Source organism: Homo sapiens, chromosome 14 (genome assembly GCF_000001405.40).
Source record: "Homo sapiens chromosome 14, GRCh38.p14 Primary Assembly".
Taxonomy (NCBI): domain Eukaryota; kingdom Metazoa; phylum Chordata; class Mammalia; order Primates; family Hominidae; genus Homo; species Homo sapiens.
In genome coordinates, this window is record NC_000014.9 from 105,863,090 (window position 1) to 105,879,568 (window position 16,479).

The following is a 16,479-nucleotide window of genomic DNA, read 5'->3' on the forward strand; positions in this document are numbered from 1 at the left end:
CAGTCCGCCCAGGTCCCCTCGGAACATGCCCCGAGGACCAACCTGCAATGCTCAGGAAACCCCACAGGCAGTAGCAGAAAACAAAGGCCCTAGAGTGGCCATTCTTACCTGAGGAGACGGTGACCGTGGTCCCTTTGCCCCAGACGTCCATGTAGTAGTAGTAGTAGTAATCACAATGGCAGAATGTCCATCCTCACCCCACAAAAACCCAGCCACCCAGAGACCTTCTGTCTCCGGGCGTCACATGGAAGCTGACTGTCCGTGGCCCTGTCCTGCCCTTCTCATGGAACCCTCTGCTGGCCTCCCACGTACCCCACATTCTGGCCTGACCCCTCAGAAGCCAGACCACTGTCGGCCTGGGAAGTCCAACTGCAAGCAGACGGCTGCTAAGTCACCCCCAGGAGTCCAAAAACCCCGGGGGGCACCCGTCCCAGAGAGCGGGTGCCTTGGAGCGGGACAGAGTCCCACCACGCAATCATCACGACAGCCCCTGAGAATGCTCCAGGTGAAGCGGAGAGAGGTCACCCCAGACCAGCCGAAGGAGCCCCCCAGCTGCCGACATCTGTGGCCGGACTTGGGGAGGACAGGCTGGGTTCCCATTCGAAGGGTCCCTCTCCCCAGCTTTCTTTCCTGACCTCCAAAATGCCTCCAAGACTCTGACCCTGAGACCCTGGCAAGCTGAGTCTCCCTAAGTGGACTCAGAGAGGGGGTGGTGAGGACTCACCTGAGGAGACGGTGACCAGGGTTCCCTGGCCCCAGGGGTCGAACCAGTTGTCACATTGTGACAACAATGCCAGGACCCCAGGCAAGAACTGGCACCCCGCTAAGTCCCTGGGACCCTCTCAGACTGAGCCCGGGGAGGGCCCGGGGGTTGTTGGACATTGGACCCCAGAGGCCCAGGGTGGCCCTGGCCACAGAGAGACCCGTGCTGCTGGGCTCAGGAGGAAGGAGCATCTGGAGCCCTTGCCCCTCGTCTGTGTGGCCGCTGTTGCCTCAGGGCATCCTCCTGAGCCCCCCAGGCTGCTCCGGGGCTCTCTTGGCAGGAGACCCAGCACGCTTATTTCCCCCCAAAAATGCAGCAAAACCCTTCAGAGTTAAAGCAGGAGAGAGGTTGTGAGGACTCACCTGAGGAGACGGTGACCAGGGTTCCCTGGCCCCAGTAGTCAAAGTAGTCACATTGTGGGAGGCCCCATTAAGGGGTGCACAAAAACCTGACTCTCCGACTGTCCCGGGCCGGCCGTGGCAGCCAGCCCCGTGTCCCAAGGTCATTTTGTCCCCAGCACAAGCATGACTCTGCCCACCCTTTGCCCCAGCAGCAGAGTCCCAGTTCCCAAAGAAAGGCCTTCTGCTGAACGTGGTCCCAAACAGCCGGAGAAGGAGCCCCGGAGGGCCCCACATGGCCCAGCGCAGACCAAGGAGCCCCCGGACATTATCTCCCAGCTCCAGGACAGAGGACGCTGGGCCCAGAGAAAGGAGGCAGAAGGAAAGCCATCTTACCTGAAGAGACGGTGACCATTGTCCCTTGGCCCCAGATATCAAAAGCATCACACAGGGACACAGTCCCTGTTCCTGCCCAGACATAAACCTGTGCCCGTGCAGGACACTCGAATGGGTCACATGGCCCAAGCACAGAGCAGAGGCAGCCGGCGTCCCTGTCCCCAGCCACACAGACCCCCGGGCTGAGACCCAGGCAGGGAGGGGTGACGTTCCCAGGGAGACGGTGGCCGGGCTGCCCTGGCCCCAGTGCTCCAAGCACTTGTAGCCACACTAAAGCGCAGGCCTGGTCCCCGGCACATGAACAGCCAGCGCCCAGCCCCAGCCCAGGCTCTGCCCACAACTTCTCCTTCCCGTCCCTGCCCTCGGCCTGCTTGCTACCTGTGGAGGGTCCCTGACGGGGCTGAAGCCCAGCGGGGTCCCTGCCTGTCCTTGGGGGCTCCAGCTGGCCCCAGGGCTAAGTGACAGCAGGGCTCTGGCATGCAGCCCATGGCGGAGACCCCAGGGATGGCAGCTGGTGTGGCCTCAGGCCAGACCCAGGCCGGCTGCAGACCCCAGATACCTGGCCTGGTGCCTGGACAGAGAAGACTGGGAGGGGGCTGCAGTGGGACTCACCTGAGGAGACAGTGACCAGGGTGCCACGGCCCCAGAGATCGAAGTACCAGTAGCACAGCCTCTGCCCTCCTGCTTCTCCCATACAAAAACACACCCTCCGCCCTCCTGCCGACCTCCTTTGCTGAGCACCTGTCCCCAAGTCTGAAGCCAAAGCCCTTGCCTGGCCCAGTACACCTGGCTCCCCGCTATCCCCAGACAGCAGACTCACCTGAGGAGACGGTGACCAGGGTGCCCTGGCCCCAGTGCTGGAAGTATTCAGCCACGGTGAGTCAGCCCTGAGCCAGGGGCTACAGAAACCCACAGCCCGGGGTCCCGGGGGAGCATGGTTTTTGTAGAGCTGCCAATCACTGTGTCCCCAGTTAGCACAGTGGTTCTCAGCTCAGCCAAAACCCTGCGGCTGGTAGGGGGCCTGTGGGGCTGGGGGCTGATGTGGCTGCGGTCTCCAGGGCGGGTCGGGTCCAGGGGCCCCCAGCACCTTTGCCAGTGCTCTCCCTTCCGCTGTTAGCCCCAAAACACGCGGGAGACCCCAGCCCTCAACCCTGCCAGTCACTCTGGAGTCTTGTGCCAATAATTTGCTGCTGTTAAGAATCATTAGAGTGCTGAAGGCTGCCAAGTGTGTTTTTCCTTTTCTTTTGTAAATTAGAGCAGATCTGAAGCTGGGTCTGTCACGCCACCTCTCATCCACTTGCTTTCTGACTTGTTTTCCCAGCAGCAGAGAGGCCCGGGTGGCGGTGGCCAGGGGAGCCTCCTCGCCTGGAGGGCCATGGCCCCCGCCAGGGCTCCTCGCTGGCCTGCAGGGGCAGGAAGCCTTTCCTGCTCTGATCCCGTCTGTGGGGCCCGGCGGGGGTTGCCTGGTTGGTTCCACCTGTTCACCGTCGTCCCACTGAACGGGAGGCCTCAGTGGGTGGCACTGGGCCTCACTCACCACGGCGCCCTGGCGTGGGCTCCCTGCGTGTCCACCAGTGCTGGGTCCCTTCTCTGAGCCTCAGCTGGTCCTCAGTGAGTCTCAGCTCTTCCCATGGTGGGTGCCAGGGAAGGTGCAAGGTGGTCTAAGGAGAGCCCCTCCCCAGGCCTGCACTGGCTGCCTTCCGCCGAGTCTGGGTGAGGGGCTTTGCACGCACCACTGGCCAGACGCGGGCTGGGTGGGGCCCTCAGGGAGGCTGAGGCCTGCGGCCAGGTGTGAGCATGGGGGTGTGCCTGGTGAGGGCCTCTGCTGGGGATGAACTGACGGGCACAGGGTGTCTGGGGGCAGGGGAGGTGCCCCTGCGGGCTTGCTGGGGAGGGTCTGTGTCGGGGCAGAGTTCCAGGGAGAGGAACAGGCAAGGCAAAGGCTGGGAGGCTGGGACCTGTCGTTGGAGGACACAGGTGGTTTCCTGAGGCTGGGTGGAAAGGGGGCCTGTGTGCCTTGAAGGGGCCGAAGGGTGCTGGGGGCTTGCTTAGGCGCTGCCCAAGAAGGCCCCCTCAGGCACCGTGCGGGCAGGGATGAGGGGTCTGGGAGGGAAGCCTGGATGTGGGGAGAGGGTTGGGGCTCCTGTAGGGGTGTGGACAGAATGGCGGCGGTTTGTGGAGTTTCCTACAGGGTTCCAGGCAGGACGGGGGACCCTGAGGTGCTGTCTGGGACAGTGGATCTCTCTAGACATGGTTGAACAGCTGCCAGCATGGGGATGGAGCCTTAGGCTGGGAATGGTGAGAGAACCCACCTCCAGCCACGAGGGGCCGAGAACCCATTTGTTTAGGGGTGGTTGGGCCCTGATGGCCTGGGAGGCACCTGTGAGGGGGTGAGGTGGGGGAGTGAGGAAGAGGGTGGTCTGGCGCTGGGGGAGTGGCTCTCTGGCCTGAGGACCCTCTGCCCCCACCTGCCACAAGCACACACCAGGGAAAGCACACGAGTGTCACAGGCGTGGCGGCTGGATCCTACAATGGGTGGCCAGGGCAGGGCCCACAGGCCAGGTCGAGTTGGTCCCCCAGCCTCTCCCAACAGCTGGCATCTCCTGGGGCACCTGTCCCCCCTGAGGGTCACTTAGCCTGGATGGTACCTCCTGGCCTGGCTGCCCTGAGCAGGGCTGGGAGCTGAGCTGGGAGCTGCGGCCCCGAGGGCAGTGGAGAGGGCGCTCCGCTCACGTGGCCCACACACTGTTTAGGACGCGGCCTTTAGAGTCTGCTCCGCTCCCGTGGCCCACGCACTGTTTAGGACGCGGCCTTTAGAGCCTGCTCCGCTCACGTGGCCCACACACTGTTTAGGACGCGGCCTTTAGAGTCTGCTCCGCTCCCGTGGCCCACGCACTGTTTAGGACGCGGCCTTTAGAGCCTGCTCCGCTCACGTGGCCCACGCACTGTTTAGGACGCGGCCTTTAGAGCCTGCTCCGCTCACGTGGCCCACGCACTGTTTAGGACGCGGCCTTTAGAGCCTGCTCCGCTCACGTGGCCCACGCACTGTTTAGGACGCGGCCTTTAGAGCCTGCTCCGCTCACGTGGCCCACGCACTGTTTAGGACGCGGCCTTTAGAGTCTGCTCCGCTCCCGTGGCCCACGCACTGTTTAGGACGCGGCCTTTAGAGCCTGCTCCGCTCACGTGGCCCACGCACTGTTTAGGACGCGGCCTTTAGAGCCTGCTCCGCTCACGTGGCCCACGCACTGTTTAGGACGCGGCCTTTAGAGCCTGCTCCGCTCACGTGGCCCACGCACTGTTTAGGACGCGGCCTTTAGAGCCTGCTCCGCTCACGTGGCCCACGCACTGTTTAGGACGCGGCCTTTAGAGCCTGCTCCGCTCACGTGGCCCACGCACTGTTTAGGACGCGGCCTTTAGAGCCTGCTCCGCTCACGTGGCCCACGCATTGTTCAGGACGCGGCCTTTCGATCCCGCGGAAGACAGTCCTTGAGCAGGAGCAGCTCCCCAGCTGAGACAGGGCCCTGGATGTCCAAGCCAGAGGGAAAGGCCCGGGGTCAGGAACAAGGGAGGGTCTGGGCCTAGAAGCAGGGGGGCAACACCTACTCCAGGCACTGAGCCTCTGGACCGTGCGGTCCTGGAGGAGAAGCCAGAGGCGACCCCTGGCAGGGATGGCAGGCCTCACGGGAGGACAGGGCACTGCCGCAGGTCTCCACGCCTTCCAGGCCTATGGTGCAGCTTGGCGAGCTGGCCAGGCTCCAGGTTGGTGAGGGGCTGGCTCTGGGCTGGCTCTGGGCTGGCTCTGTCATGGGCCAGATGGCTAGAACACAGGGTATCACTGTGAGGAATGACGCTGTCTGTCACTCCCAGGTTAGGGAGAACGCGTTGTTTCCCTTATACCCGAGGCTCCGCTTCTGATGGTCTCTGCTGTAGGAGACGTGGTTTCCACGCTTCCACCACTGCTCCTGCCGGCCTGGGTACTCTGCTCTGGGGGGATGGCCCTTCTGGGCAAAGACACAGCAGAAAGAGTCTTGCTGCTTCATTTCCCAGGTCAGAAGCAACGCAGGAGCACACCACTGCTTCAGCTGATAATCGACAGAGTCTCCCTCCTCTAACACCCAATTCCTTCCCTAAGAGGACTGGGAGAGTGAGGAGAAGGTCTGAGGAGAATCATCTTCCCTGGCATGGAGCTTGGCATTTTGTCCCAAAGGAAACAGTGGAATTTGCTTGGGGTGAATTTTGCCCAAGTTTTTTCAGCTTTTCCCATTTTGTGTGTAATACTCATATGCTATATAGAGTTGGGTTTTATCTTGTGGTCCAATTTGAAAGTCTCTTCCTTTTAATAGGCAAGTTAAGGCCATTGATGTTTGTTGTTTTCATAGATCTGTTTGGCTTCAATCTTATCTTAGTAGTTTATATTTTCTATTTTTATGCTTCCAAAAAGTTTTCCATCTTAAGTTTTCTTGTTCTTTGCTATCTTCTATGTGTAGTGGCTACCTTTATAACTTTCCAAAATATTCTTTGTTCTTCTTTGGACAATGTACTTTAGTTCTTTACTATATACGAGTATGAAATTACCTGGTTTCCTCTTCCTTTTCCCCTCCATCTCTAGCATCATGTGATTGTAATCAGTAATATTATTTTCTTAGAATTTGTTTGTACTGTCTAATATGCCCAATTTGGTTTTACTGAAGTCCTTTGGCTGAGAGTTATTTGGAGTGAGGCAGTAATTCAGAAGTGCTCTCTATCTCATATTCTGTGTTTTGATCATTGTAAAATGTCCACTTTGTCAGGCAGACACCATTTCACCTCTGTTGAGGCCACATGGTCCCCCACAGTCATTTCTATCTTAGTCTCGCAGTTAAGGACACTTAATATTTACTTTTGGTTCTTGGCCCTGGGTTCTCCAAGCACCTTTTGATGGCTGGTGGTCTTCCTCTAGTAGTTTCATCATGAGATTATGGATTATAGAATGTTTGGAACTCCTTTTCAGCAGCCTTTTTTCTTCAAGAACAGTTGGCTGTATATAGACTCTGGACTATCCACTACTTCTTTCCCCCTTAAGGACCCTACAGGTTTTGTCCTACCATTTACTGATCTTGAATGTGGCTGGTGAGAAATCTAGGACTGGTCATCATCCCCCTTATAGATGATTGTGTGTGTGTTTTTTTCTTTTTTTTTTTGGATTTAGAATTTTTTCAAATTTGTGCCCAAATTAGTTCTTTCTAAAATTAATTACCAAAAGTAATAGAACAGAAAGCATACTTAAATCTATAATTTCAAAAACTCTATCCTGAAATAAAACAAGATTGCCCACGTATTAGTAGGGTGACTGAGAGAACCAGAGAAAATTGGCTTAGAATGGTGGCTCCTGAGATGCACTGGACTCCATTCTTTCTTAGGTACTCGGATTATGTGGATGTCGTCTCTTCTTTGCCTGTCTTCCATATCTGTCACCTCTTTTTATATATTTTATTTTACAGAATTTTTATGGGTACATAGAAGATGTATATATTTATGGGGTACATTGGATGTTTTGATCTAGGCGTGCAATGTGAAATAATCACATCATGGAAAATGGGGTATCCATCCTCTTAAGCATTATCCTTTGTGTTAGAAACAATCCAATTATACACCTTTCATTATTAAAAATATACAACTAAATTACTGACTATAGCCACCTTGCTGTGCTATCAAGTAGTAAGTCTTATTCATTCTTTCTATTTTTTTGTACCCGTTAACCACTGCCACCTTTCCCTATCCCCCCACCACCGTTCTCAGCATCTGGTAACCATCCTTTTACTCTTTATGAACATGGGTGCAATTGTTTTGATTTTTAGATCTCATTAATAAGTAAGAACATTGTAATGTTTGTCTTTCTGTGCCTGGCTTATTTCACTTCACATAATGATCTCCAGTTCCATCCATGTTGTTGCAAATGACTCAATCTCATTCCTTTTTATTATTGAATAATACTCCATTGTGTATATGCACCACATTTTCTTTATACATTCAACTGCTGATGGACACTTAGGTTGCTTCCAAATCTTGGCTGTTGTGAACAGGGCTGCAACAAACATGGGAGTGCAGATACCTCTTCATATACTGACTTCCTTTCTTTTGTAGTATATACACAGCAGTGGGATTGCTGGATCCTATGGTAGCTTTCTTTCAGTTTTTTGAGGAACTTTCATGCTGCTCTCCACAGTGGTTGTACTAATTTACAATCCCAGCAACAGTGTATGGGGGCTCCCTTTTCCCCACATCCTTGCCAGCATTTGTTATTGCCTGTCTTCTGGATATCAGCCATTTTAACTGGGGTGAGATGATAGCACATTTTAGTTTTAGTTTTGATTGATTGTGTTTCTGTGATAATCCATGATGTTGAGCACCGTTCCATGTCGGTTTGCCATCTGTATGTCTTATTTTAAGAAATGTCTATTCTAACATTTTTCCCATTTTTAAATCAGATTATTAGATTTTTTTTTCTATAGCACTGTTTGAGCTCCTTATATATTCTGCATATATTCTGGTTTTTAATCCCTTGCCAGATGGGTATTTTTCAAATATTTTCTCCCATTCTGTGGGTTGTCTCTTCATTTTGTTGGTTGTTTCCCTTACTGTGCAGAAGCTTTTTAACTTGATGTGATCCCATTTGTCCATTTTTGCTTTGGTTGTCTGTGCTTGTGGGATATTACTCAAGAAATCTTTGCCTGGACTGATGTCTTGGAGAGTTTCCGCCAAGGTTGTCTTGCAGTGGTTTCATAGTATGAGGTCTTAGATTTAAGTCCTTAAACAATTTTGATTTGATTTTTGTATATAGTGAGAGAGAGAGGGGTCTAGTTTCACTGTTATGTATATGGATATCCAGTTTTCCCCACATTATTTATTGAAGAGATATCATTATCTATTCCCCAGAGTATGTTCTTGGCAACTTTGTCAAAAATGAATTTGCTGTAGGTGTGTGGATTTATTTCTGGGTTTTTAAATTTTGTTCTGTTTGTCTCTGTGTCTGTTTTTATGCTAGTACCACGCTGTTTTGGTTACTATCTATAGCTCTGTAGTAGAATTTGAAGACAGGCAATGTCATTCCTACAGTTTCGTTCTTTTTGCTTAGGAGAGCTTTGGCTATTCTGGGTCTTTGTGGTTCCACGTAAATTTTAGGATTTTTTTTTTCTATTTCTGTGAATGATGTCATTGGTATTTTGATAAGGATTGCATTGAATCTGTAGATTGCTTTGGATAGTATGGACATTATAACAACACTGATTCTTCTAATCCATGAACATGCAATTGCTTTCCATTTTTTGGTGTACTCTTCAATTTCTTTCATCAGTTTTTATAGTTTTCATTACAGAAATCTTTTACCTCTTTGGTTAATTCCTAGGTGTTTATTTGTGGTTATTGTAAATAGGGTTACTTTTTAATTTCTTTTTCACATTGGTCATTGTTGGCATATAGAAATGCTACTGATTTTTGTATGTTGATTTTGTATCCTGCAGCTTTACTGAATTTGTTCGTCAGTTCTAATAACTTTTTTTGGTGGAGTCTTTAGTTAGCTCTAAATAGAAGATCATACCATATGCAAATGAGGATAATTTGACTTATTCCTTTCCAATTTGGATGTCTTTTATATCTTTCTCTTGTCTGATCGCTCCAGCTAGGACTTCCAGTACTATGTTGAATAACAGTGATGAAAGTGGGCATCTTTGTCATGTTCCAGATCGTAGAGGAAAGGCTCTCAGTTTTTCCTCATTTAGTATCATACTGTGGGACTGTCATATATGGCTTTATTATGTTGAGGTAAGTTTCTTTTGTACCTAGTATAGAAGAGAATTTTTATTATGAAGGAATGTTGAATTTTATCAAATGCTTTTTCAGTATCAATTAAATGATCAAATGGTTTTTGTTGTTCATTCTGTTGATATGATGTATCACATTGATTGATTTGCATATGTTGAACCATCTTTGCATCCCAAGTTAGATAAATTCCACTTGGTCATGATGAGTGAACTTTCTAATGTGTAGTTGAATTTGGTTTGCTAGTATTTTGTTGAGGATTTTTGTGTCAATATTCATCAGACATATTGGCCTGTAGTTTTCTTTTTTTCATGTGTCTTTGTCTAGTTTTGGTGTCAGGTTAATACTGGCCTCGTATAATGAGTTTTGAAGTATTCCTTCCACCTCTATTTTTTGGAATAGTTTGAGTAGGATTGGTATTAGTTCTACTTTAAATGTTTGGTAGAATTCAGCAGTGAAGCCGTCGGGTCCTGGGCTTCTCTTTACTGGGAGGCTTTTTATTACGGCTTTGATCTCATTACTTGTTATCAGTCTGTTCAGGTTTTGAATTTCTTCTTGGTTTAATCTTGGGAGGTTGTATGTGTCTAGGAATTTCTGCATTTCTTCTAGATTTTCCAATTTATTGGCATATAGTTGCTTATAGTAGCCACTAATGATCCTTTGAATTTCTGTGGTGTAAGTTGTAATGTCACCTTTTTCATCTCTGATTTTATTTATTTGGATCTTCTGTCTTTTTTTCTTAGTCTGGCTAAAGGTTTGTCAATTTTGTTTAACTTTTCAAGAAAACAACCTGTTGTTTTATTGATCTTTTGTATTGTTTTCTTCATTTCAATTTTACTTATTTCTGCTCTGACCTTTACTGTTTTCTTCTACTAATTTTGGATTTGATTTCCTCTTGCTTTTCTAGTTCTTTAAGATGCATTGTTAGGTTTTTTTATTGAAGTTTTTCTTCTTTTTTAATGTAAGCATTTGTAGCTGTAAACTTCCCTCTTAGTACTGCTTTTGCTGTATCCCATAGGTTTTGGTATTTTCTGTTTCCATGATCATTCGTTCCAAGAAAAATTTCAGTTTCCTTCTTAATTGCTTCATTGACCCACTCAGCATTCATTAATTTCCATATATTTATATAGTTTCCAAAATTCCTCTTGTTATTGATTTCTAGTTTTAGTCCATTGTGGTCACAGAAGATGCTTGATATTATTTCAATGTATTTGAATATTTTAAAACTTGTTTTGTGACCCAACATATGGTCTATCCTTGAGAATGATCTATGTGCTGAGGAAAAGAATGTGTGTTCTGCAGCTGTTGGATGAAATGTTCTGTAAATATCTGTTAGATCCATTTGGTCGATAGTGCAGATTAAGTCCAATATTTCTTTGTTGATTTTCTATCTGGAGGATCTGTTCAATGTTGAAAGTGGGATGTTGAAATCTCCAGCTATTATTGCATTGGAGTCTATTTCTCTCTTTAGCTCTAGTAAATACTTGCTTTATATATCTGGGTGCTCCAGCATTGGGTGCATATATATTTACAATTGTTATATCCTCTTGCTGAATTGACCTGTTTATCATTAGTGACCTTGTCTCTTCTTATAGTTTTTGTCTTGAAATCTATTTTGCCTGATATAAGTGTAGCTACTCCTGCTCTTTCTTTGGTTTCCATTGGCGTGGAGTATCTTTTTCCATCCCTTTGTTTTCAGTCTATGTGTGTCTTTATAGATAAAGTGTGTTTCTTGTGGACAACAGATCAATGGGTCTTGTTTTTTCTTTAATTGATTCAGCCACTCTATGTCTTTTGATTGGAGAGTTTAGTCCATTTACATTCAATGGTATTATTGATAAGTAAGGACTTACTCCTGCCATATTGCTATTTGCTTTTGGTCTTCTCTCTCTTCATTCTTTTCTCCGTCTTCCTTTTAGTGAAGGTGATTTTCTCTGATGACGTAATTTAGCTTCTTGCTTTTTGTTTTTTGTGTATCTGTTGTATTGCTTTTGGTTTGACGTTACCATGAGGCTTGCAAATAGTATCTTATGACCCATTATTTTAAACTGATGACAACTTAACACTGTTTGCATAAACAGACAAGTAAAAAGAAAACTAATAAAGACTCTTTGCCTTAACTTCATCCCTCCACCTTTTAACTTTTTGTTATGATTTATATCTTATTGTACTATGTCTTGAAAAGTTGTAGTTATTATTTTTCATTGCTTCATCATTTAGTTTTTCTACTCAAGATAAGGCTAGCCTGACCAACATGGTGAAACACCGTCTCTACTAAAATACAAAATTAGCTGGACATGGTAGCACATGCCTGTAATCCCAGCTACTTGGGAGGCTGAGGCAGGAGAATTGCTTGAACCCGGGAGGTGGAAGTTGCAGTGAGCTGAGATTGTGCCATTGCACTCCAGCCTGGGCTGGAGCAAAACTCCGTCTAAAAACAAAAACAAACAAACAAACAAACAAACAAACAAACAAACAAAAGGAGTTTACACACCACAGTTACAGTGTTATAATATTCTGTGTTTTTCTGTGTACTTACTATTACCGGTGAGTTTTGTGCCTTCAGATGATTTCTTATTGTTCACTAACGTGTTTCTTTCTGATTGAAGTACTCCCTTTAGCATTTCTTAAAAGACAGGTCTGGTGTTCATGAAATCCCTCAACATTTGTCTGGAAACAAATTATTTCTCCTTCATGTTTGAAGGATAATTTCACCAGCTATACTGTTCGAGGGTAAAAGTTTTTTCCTTCAGCACTTTAAATCCATTATGACACTCTCTCCTGGCATATAAAGTCTTCACTGAAAAGTCTGCTGCCAGACATATTGGAGCTCCATAGTATTTTATTCATTTCTTTTCTTTTGCTGCTTTTAGGATCTTTTTAAAGTCCTTGTCATATGGGAGTTTGAGTATTGAATGCCTTGAGGTAGTCTTCTTTGCATTAAATCTCCTTGGTGTACTACATCCTTCTTGCATTTGGATATTGATATCTTTCTCTAGGTTTGGGAAGTTTTCTGTTATTATCCCTTTGAATAAACTCTCCATCCCTCTTTCTCTACCTCCTCTTTAAGGCTAATAATTCTTAGATTTGGCCTTTTGAGGCTATTTTCTAGATCCTGTAGATATGCTTCATTGTTATTTATTCTTTTCTCTTTTGTCTCCTTTTATCGTGCTTTTCCAAATAGCCTGTTTTCAAGCTCACTAATTCTTTCTTCTACTTGATATAAGAGGCTATGAAAATACTCTGATGCATTTTTCAGTATGCCAATTGCATTTTTCAGCTCCATAATTTCTGCTTAATTCTTTTTAATTGCTTCAATCTCTGTTAAATTTATCGGATAGGATTCTGAATTCCTTCACTGTGTTATCTTGAATTTCTTTGAGTTTCCTCAACAAAGCTACTTTGAATTCTCTGAAAGATAACATACCTCTATTTCTCCGAGACTGGTCCCTGGTGCCTTATTTAGTTCACTGGTTGAGGCCATGTTTTCCTGGATGGTGTTGCTGCTAGGAGATGTTCTTCAGTGCCTGGGCATTGAAGAGTGAGGTGTTTATTGCAGTCTGGGCTTGTTTTTTTGCAGTCTGGGCTTGTTTGTTTGCTCCTGTCCTTGGGAAGTCTTCCCACATATTCAAAAGGACTTGGGTGTTGTGATCTTAGCTATATCTGCTTTAGGGGGACTCCAAGCCCAAAAGACTCATAGAGGTACTGCTTTGATAATCTTGGCCAAGATCTAGAATAATTCTCTGGATTACCAGGCAGAGACTCTTGTTCTCATCCCTTACTTTCTCCCAAACAAATGGAGTCTCTCTCTGTCTGTTCTGAGCCTCCTGGAGATGGGGGTGGAGTGACACAAGCACCCCCACTACCACTATGGACACCACCACTATGACAGTGCTGGGTCAGACCTGAAGTCAGCACAACACTGGGTCTTGCTCAAGGCCTGCTGTAACCACTCCCTGGCTACCGCCTATGTTTGTTGCAAGCTGTGGGGCTCTGCAATGAGCAGGTGGCAAAGCCAGCCAGGCATGTTCTTTCCCTTCAGGGTGGCGAGGTCCCCCAGGCCCCAGGCAGGTTCAGATCACTTGTCTTTAGTTCCGTAAAATTTTATTTCTGCTCTGTTTCATCTCATTCATTTTTCTCCCCATGTCCTATTTGTGTCTTCCACGGGATCTGTTTTTCCTCTCGCTCTTTCTACTTGCCATGATGAAGGGTTTTTAAAAAATTTATTTTGTAACTTTGGCCAAACCATATTTTATCTCCTCCTGTTCATTTTTGATTCTCTTCTCTTGTATTTGAGCTCCATGATTTTCCTTCATAAATCCAATCCCTTCATTATTTTCTATCCATGGAGGATTACTTGGCTGAAATTCTCATCTCATCGTTTGGAAATATTGTTCTGGTGAATATTTTTTATACACTTTGCTGCCGTTTCTAAAAAGTCGATACTGTTCCAGTTCAAGTTTATTACTCATTTTCATGAATTAAGCTCTACTGGGCCTGCTCTTTGTAGCTGTTTCCATGGAGTCGGGAGAAGAGGAGCCTGTGAAGCTTTGCAGCCCAAAGGCTTTCTCGTTTTCTGCTGTGGCAAGGACAAATGCATGCAGCAGATTGACTTAGGGTGTGACTGGCTGGCCAGCGCCGTCCGCATCTCGAACTCACCTGGACACATGGACACCAGGCGTCCGCTGGCAACTCTCTTTATTCTGGGTCCTGTGCTGGTCATTGCATTTGCAGGATAAAGCTGCCCTCTCAGAAGAGGTCCTCATGTTTAGAAAGTGTATTTTAGCTGTGCTGGTCATTGCATGTGCAGGATAAAACTTCTGCCCTCTCAGAAGAGGTCCTTGTGTTTAGAAAGCGTATTTCAGCTGCCTCTGGGCCCTCACACCCCGTCATGTATTCACTTCCTTCCATGTGACCTCTGCCCAATGTCAACTGTTTTTGGCATCTTCACATATATTTTGGATTCTGTGGGTTTTATCTGTTTTCCTAATTTCACCAAAAAATGAAAGTTTCCATTAAAAAAAAAACTGTACATTGTGATCCAGCGATCCCACTACTGGGTATTTATCCAAAGGACATGATGTCAGTATGTTGAAGAGACATCTGCAGCCCCATGTTTACTGCAGCACCATCCACAACAGCTAAGAAATGGAATCAACCTAAATGTCCATAGTTGATGCATGGATAAAGCAAATGAGGTCCATTGACACAATGGAATACTCTTTAGACTTTAAAAAGAATGAAACCCTGTCATTTGCAACAACGGATGGATCTGGAGGACAGTGTGTTAACTAAAATAAGCCAGGCATAGAAAGCAAATACTGTATGATCTCATTCATCTGTGGAATCTTAAAAAGCTGAACTCATACGTAGAGTATAGAGTGGTAGTTACCAGGGCCAGGGGCCGGGGTGGGGGATGCTGGTGAAAGGATGCACAGCCTGAGCTGGCAGGAGGGTGAGGTCGGGAGCTTGGCTATGCATGACGGTGACCACAGTTGACAACAATGTATTGCATTCTTAAAAAATACTAAGAGAGTGGATTTTAAGCATTCTCGCCACAAAAGATGACAAGTATGTGAAGTAATGCGTGTTAAATTAGCTCAACGTTGCTGTTCCACGATGTATACATATTTTAAAGCATCATGTTGTACACAATAAATATATACGGCTTCATTTGTCAATTAAAACATGAATTAAAAAAGAAAAAACGTCTACATTTTGCTTTTTCGCAACCATGGGGAAGGCAGGGGGACCTGTTTGGTGAGGGAGGAAGGGTCAGATGTGCATGAACGTGCGTGTCACCCGTGCCCGGGGTTGTTGTGGCTCCATCCACTGCCTCACCCTCTCCGACCTGGTTTGTCCCCTGGAGGCAACCTGCTCGGCGCCTCTCTCTGGGCCAGCTGCATCAGTGGCTGCTGATGTAAGGACCCCAAGTCCTGGGCAGCCTTGCAGCCGACCTGGGCCTTGGCCCACTCTGCTGCCTCGTTCCCTTGAGGGGTGGCTCCAGGGACCGCGCCTCAACCACCCCCAGAGCTGCCTGCAGCAAACCTTGGTCAGCAGGCTGGGGTGACTGCCCTGCGCAGGGCCCTAGCCTCCCAGACCCCCTGAGCTCTGTGCAAGCCATTGTAAAGAGTCCCTCAGCAAGCTCCCTTTGCCGTGTGCTCTCTCTTTCTATCTTTTCTTACCATGTTGGGAGGCAGCAAACACTTTCTCCAGCTTTCTTTTCATCAGCTCCACGGGCCTCTGGGCTCTGCTCCTCAGCCTCACTTCCAGTGGTTGCCCTAGAGCTTCGAACACGCTCCTAGCATTGCACAGCCATCCTCGTGAGAACACAGGCTGGAGTGGCCATGGTAGGCACCGAGAGACGCTGGCACCCCCGCCATGCCCCTGGCCCCCCAGCGCCCGCTCCGGGCTTCACTGTGCTGTCCGTGCCTTCCTGTCTGGAGCTTTGCATCTTTATCTTCGTGTGATGAAATTTGTCTTTATTCAAAAAAACAAATTTCTTTGTCTTTTTTTTTTTGAGATGGAATCTTGCTCTGTCGCCAGGCTGGAGTGCAGTGGTGTGATCTCGGCTCACTGCAACCTCCGCCTTCCGGGTTCACGCATTTCTCCTGTCTCAGCCTCCTGAGTGGCTGGGATTACAGGCATGCACCACCATGCCTGGCTAATCTTTGTATTTTTAGTAGAGATGGGTTTTCATCATGTTGGCCAGGCTGGTCTCGAACTCCAGACCTCAGGTGATCTGCCCGCCTCGGCCTCCCAAAGGGCTGGGATTACAGGTGGGAGCCACCATGTCCAGCCTATTTGTCAATATTCTTTATTGTACATATTGAATAAATAAAATAAAAATGAACCATCTTACACATAAAAATAGACATACACATTTATGAATATGCTTAAACACCACGTAGGATTTACGCAGTGAGAGAAGCACTCAAGGGACCACATTCCCTGAGTGTGTCCGGGTAGAAAATATGCCAGCTTTGTTGGGCATAACATTCTTGAATCATATTTTCTTTCCAACAGACTTTTACAGGCATTGATAAGTTTTTGTGTTTTTCAAGAAATCCGAGGCGACACTGACTTCCCCTTCATAAGGGATTGTTGTGCATGGGGCTCATGTTACTTACACTGAAGTCTGGTAACTTTAATGAAATCCATTTGCTATGGAATGGTCTGGATTTC

At 47.4% G+C, this 16,479-nt stretch overlaps 3 pseudogenes, 7 gene segments (V, D, J or C) and 1 further gene; all 11 read right to left on the minus strand.

The window, feature by feature from the left end:
• IGH (immunoglobulin heavy locus) overlaps nt 1–16,479 on the minus strand; it is a 1,293,408-nt gene that overhangs the window by 276,653 nt on the left and 1,000,276 nt on the right.
• Nucleotides 107–171, minus strand: IGHJ6 (immunoglobulin heavy joining 6). The segment is given in 1 exon segment: nt 107–171. A coding segment is annotated over 1 exon segment (65 nt), but the record flags the coding sequence as incomplete, so codon positions are not given.
• Nucleotides 326–376, minus strand: IGHJ3P (immunoglobulin heavy joining 3P (pseudogene); annotated as a pseudogene). The gene is given in 1 exon segment: nt 326–376. A coding segment is annotated over 1 exon segment (51 nt).
• On the minus strand, nt 723–775 carry IGHJ5 (immunoglobulin heavy joining 5). The segment is given in 1 exon segment: nt 723–775. A coding segment is annotated over 1 exon segment (53 nt), but the record flags the coding sequence as incomplete, so codon positions are not given.
• Nucleotides 1,124–1,173, minus strand: IGHJ4 (immunoglobulin heavy joining 4). The segment is given in 1 exon segment: nt 1,124–1,173. A coding segment is annotated over 1 exon segment (50 nt), but the record flags the coding sequence as incomplete, so codon positions are not given.
• Nucleotides 1,496–1,547, minus strand: IGHJ3 (immunoglobulin heavy joining 3). The segment is given in 1 exon segment: nt 1,496–1,547. A coding segment is annotated over 1 exon segment (52 nt), but the record flags the coding sequence as incomplete, so codon positions are not given.
• IGHJ2P (immunoglobulin heavy joining 2P (pseudogene)) lies at nt 1,704–1,763 on the minus strand (annotated as a pseudogene). The gene is given in 1 exon segment: nt 1,704–1,763. A coding segment is annotated over 1 exon segment (60 nt).
• On the minus strand, nt 2,108–2,162 carry IGHJ2 (immunoglobulin heavy joining 2). The segment is given in 1 exon segment: nt 2,108–2,162. A coding segment is annotated over 1 exon segment (55 nt), but the record flags the coding sequence as incomplete, so codon positions are not given.
• Nucleotides 2,316–2,369, minus strand: IGHJ1 (immunoglobulin heavy joining 1). The segment is given in 1 exon segment: nt 2,316–2,369. A coding segment is annotated over 1 exon segment (54 nt), but the record flags the coding sequence as incomplete, so codon positions are not given.
• Nucleotides 2,462–2,472, minus strand: IGHD7-27 (immunoglobulin heavy diversity 7-27). The segment is given in 1 exon segment: nt 2,462–2,472. A coding segment is annotated over 1 exon segment (11 nt), but the record flags the coding sequence as incomplete, so codon positions are not given.
• Nucleotides 2,535–2,588, minus strand: IGHJ1P (immunoglobulin heavy joining 1P (pseudogene); annotated as a pseudogene). Its single transcript is given in 1 exon segment — nt 2,535–2,588. A coding segment is annotated over 1 exon segment (54 nt).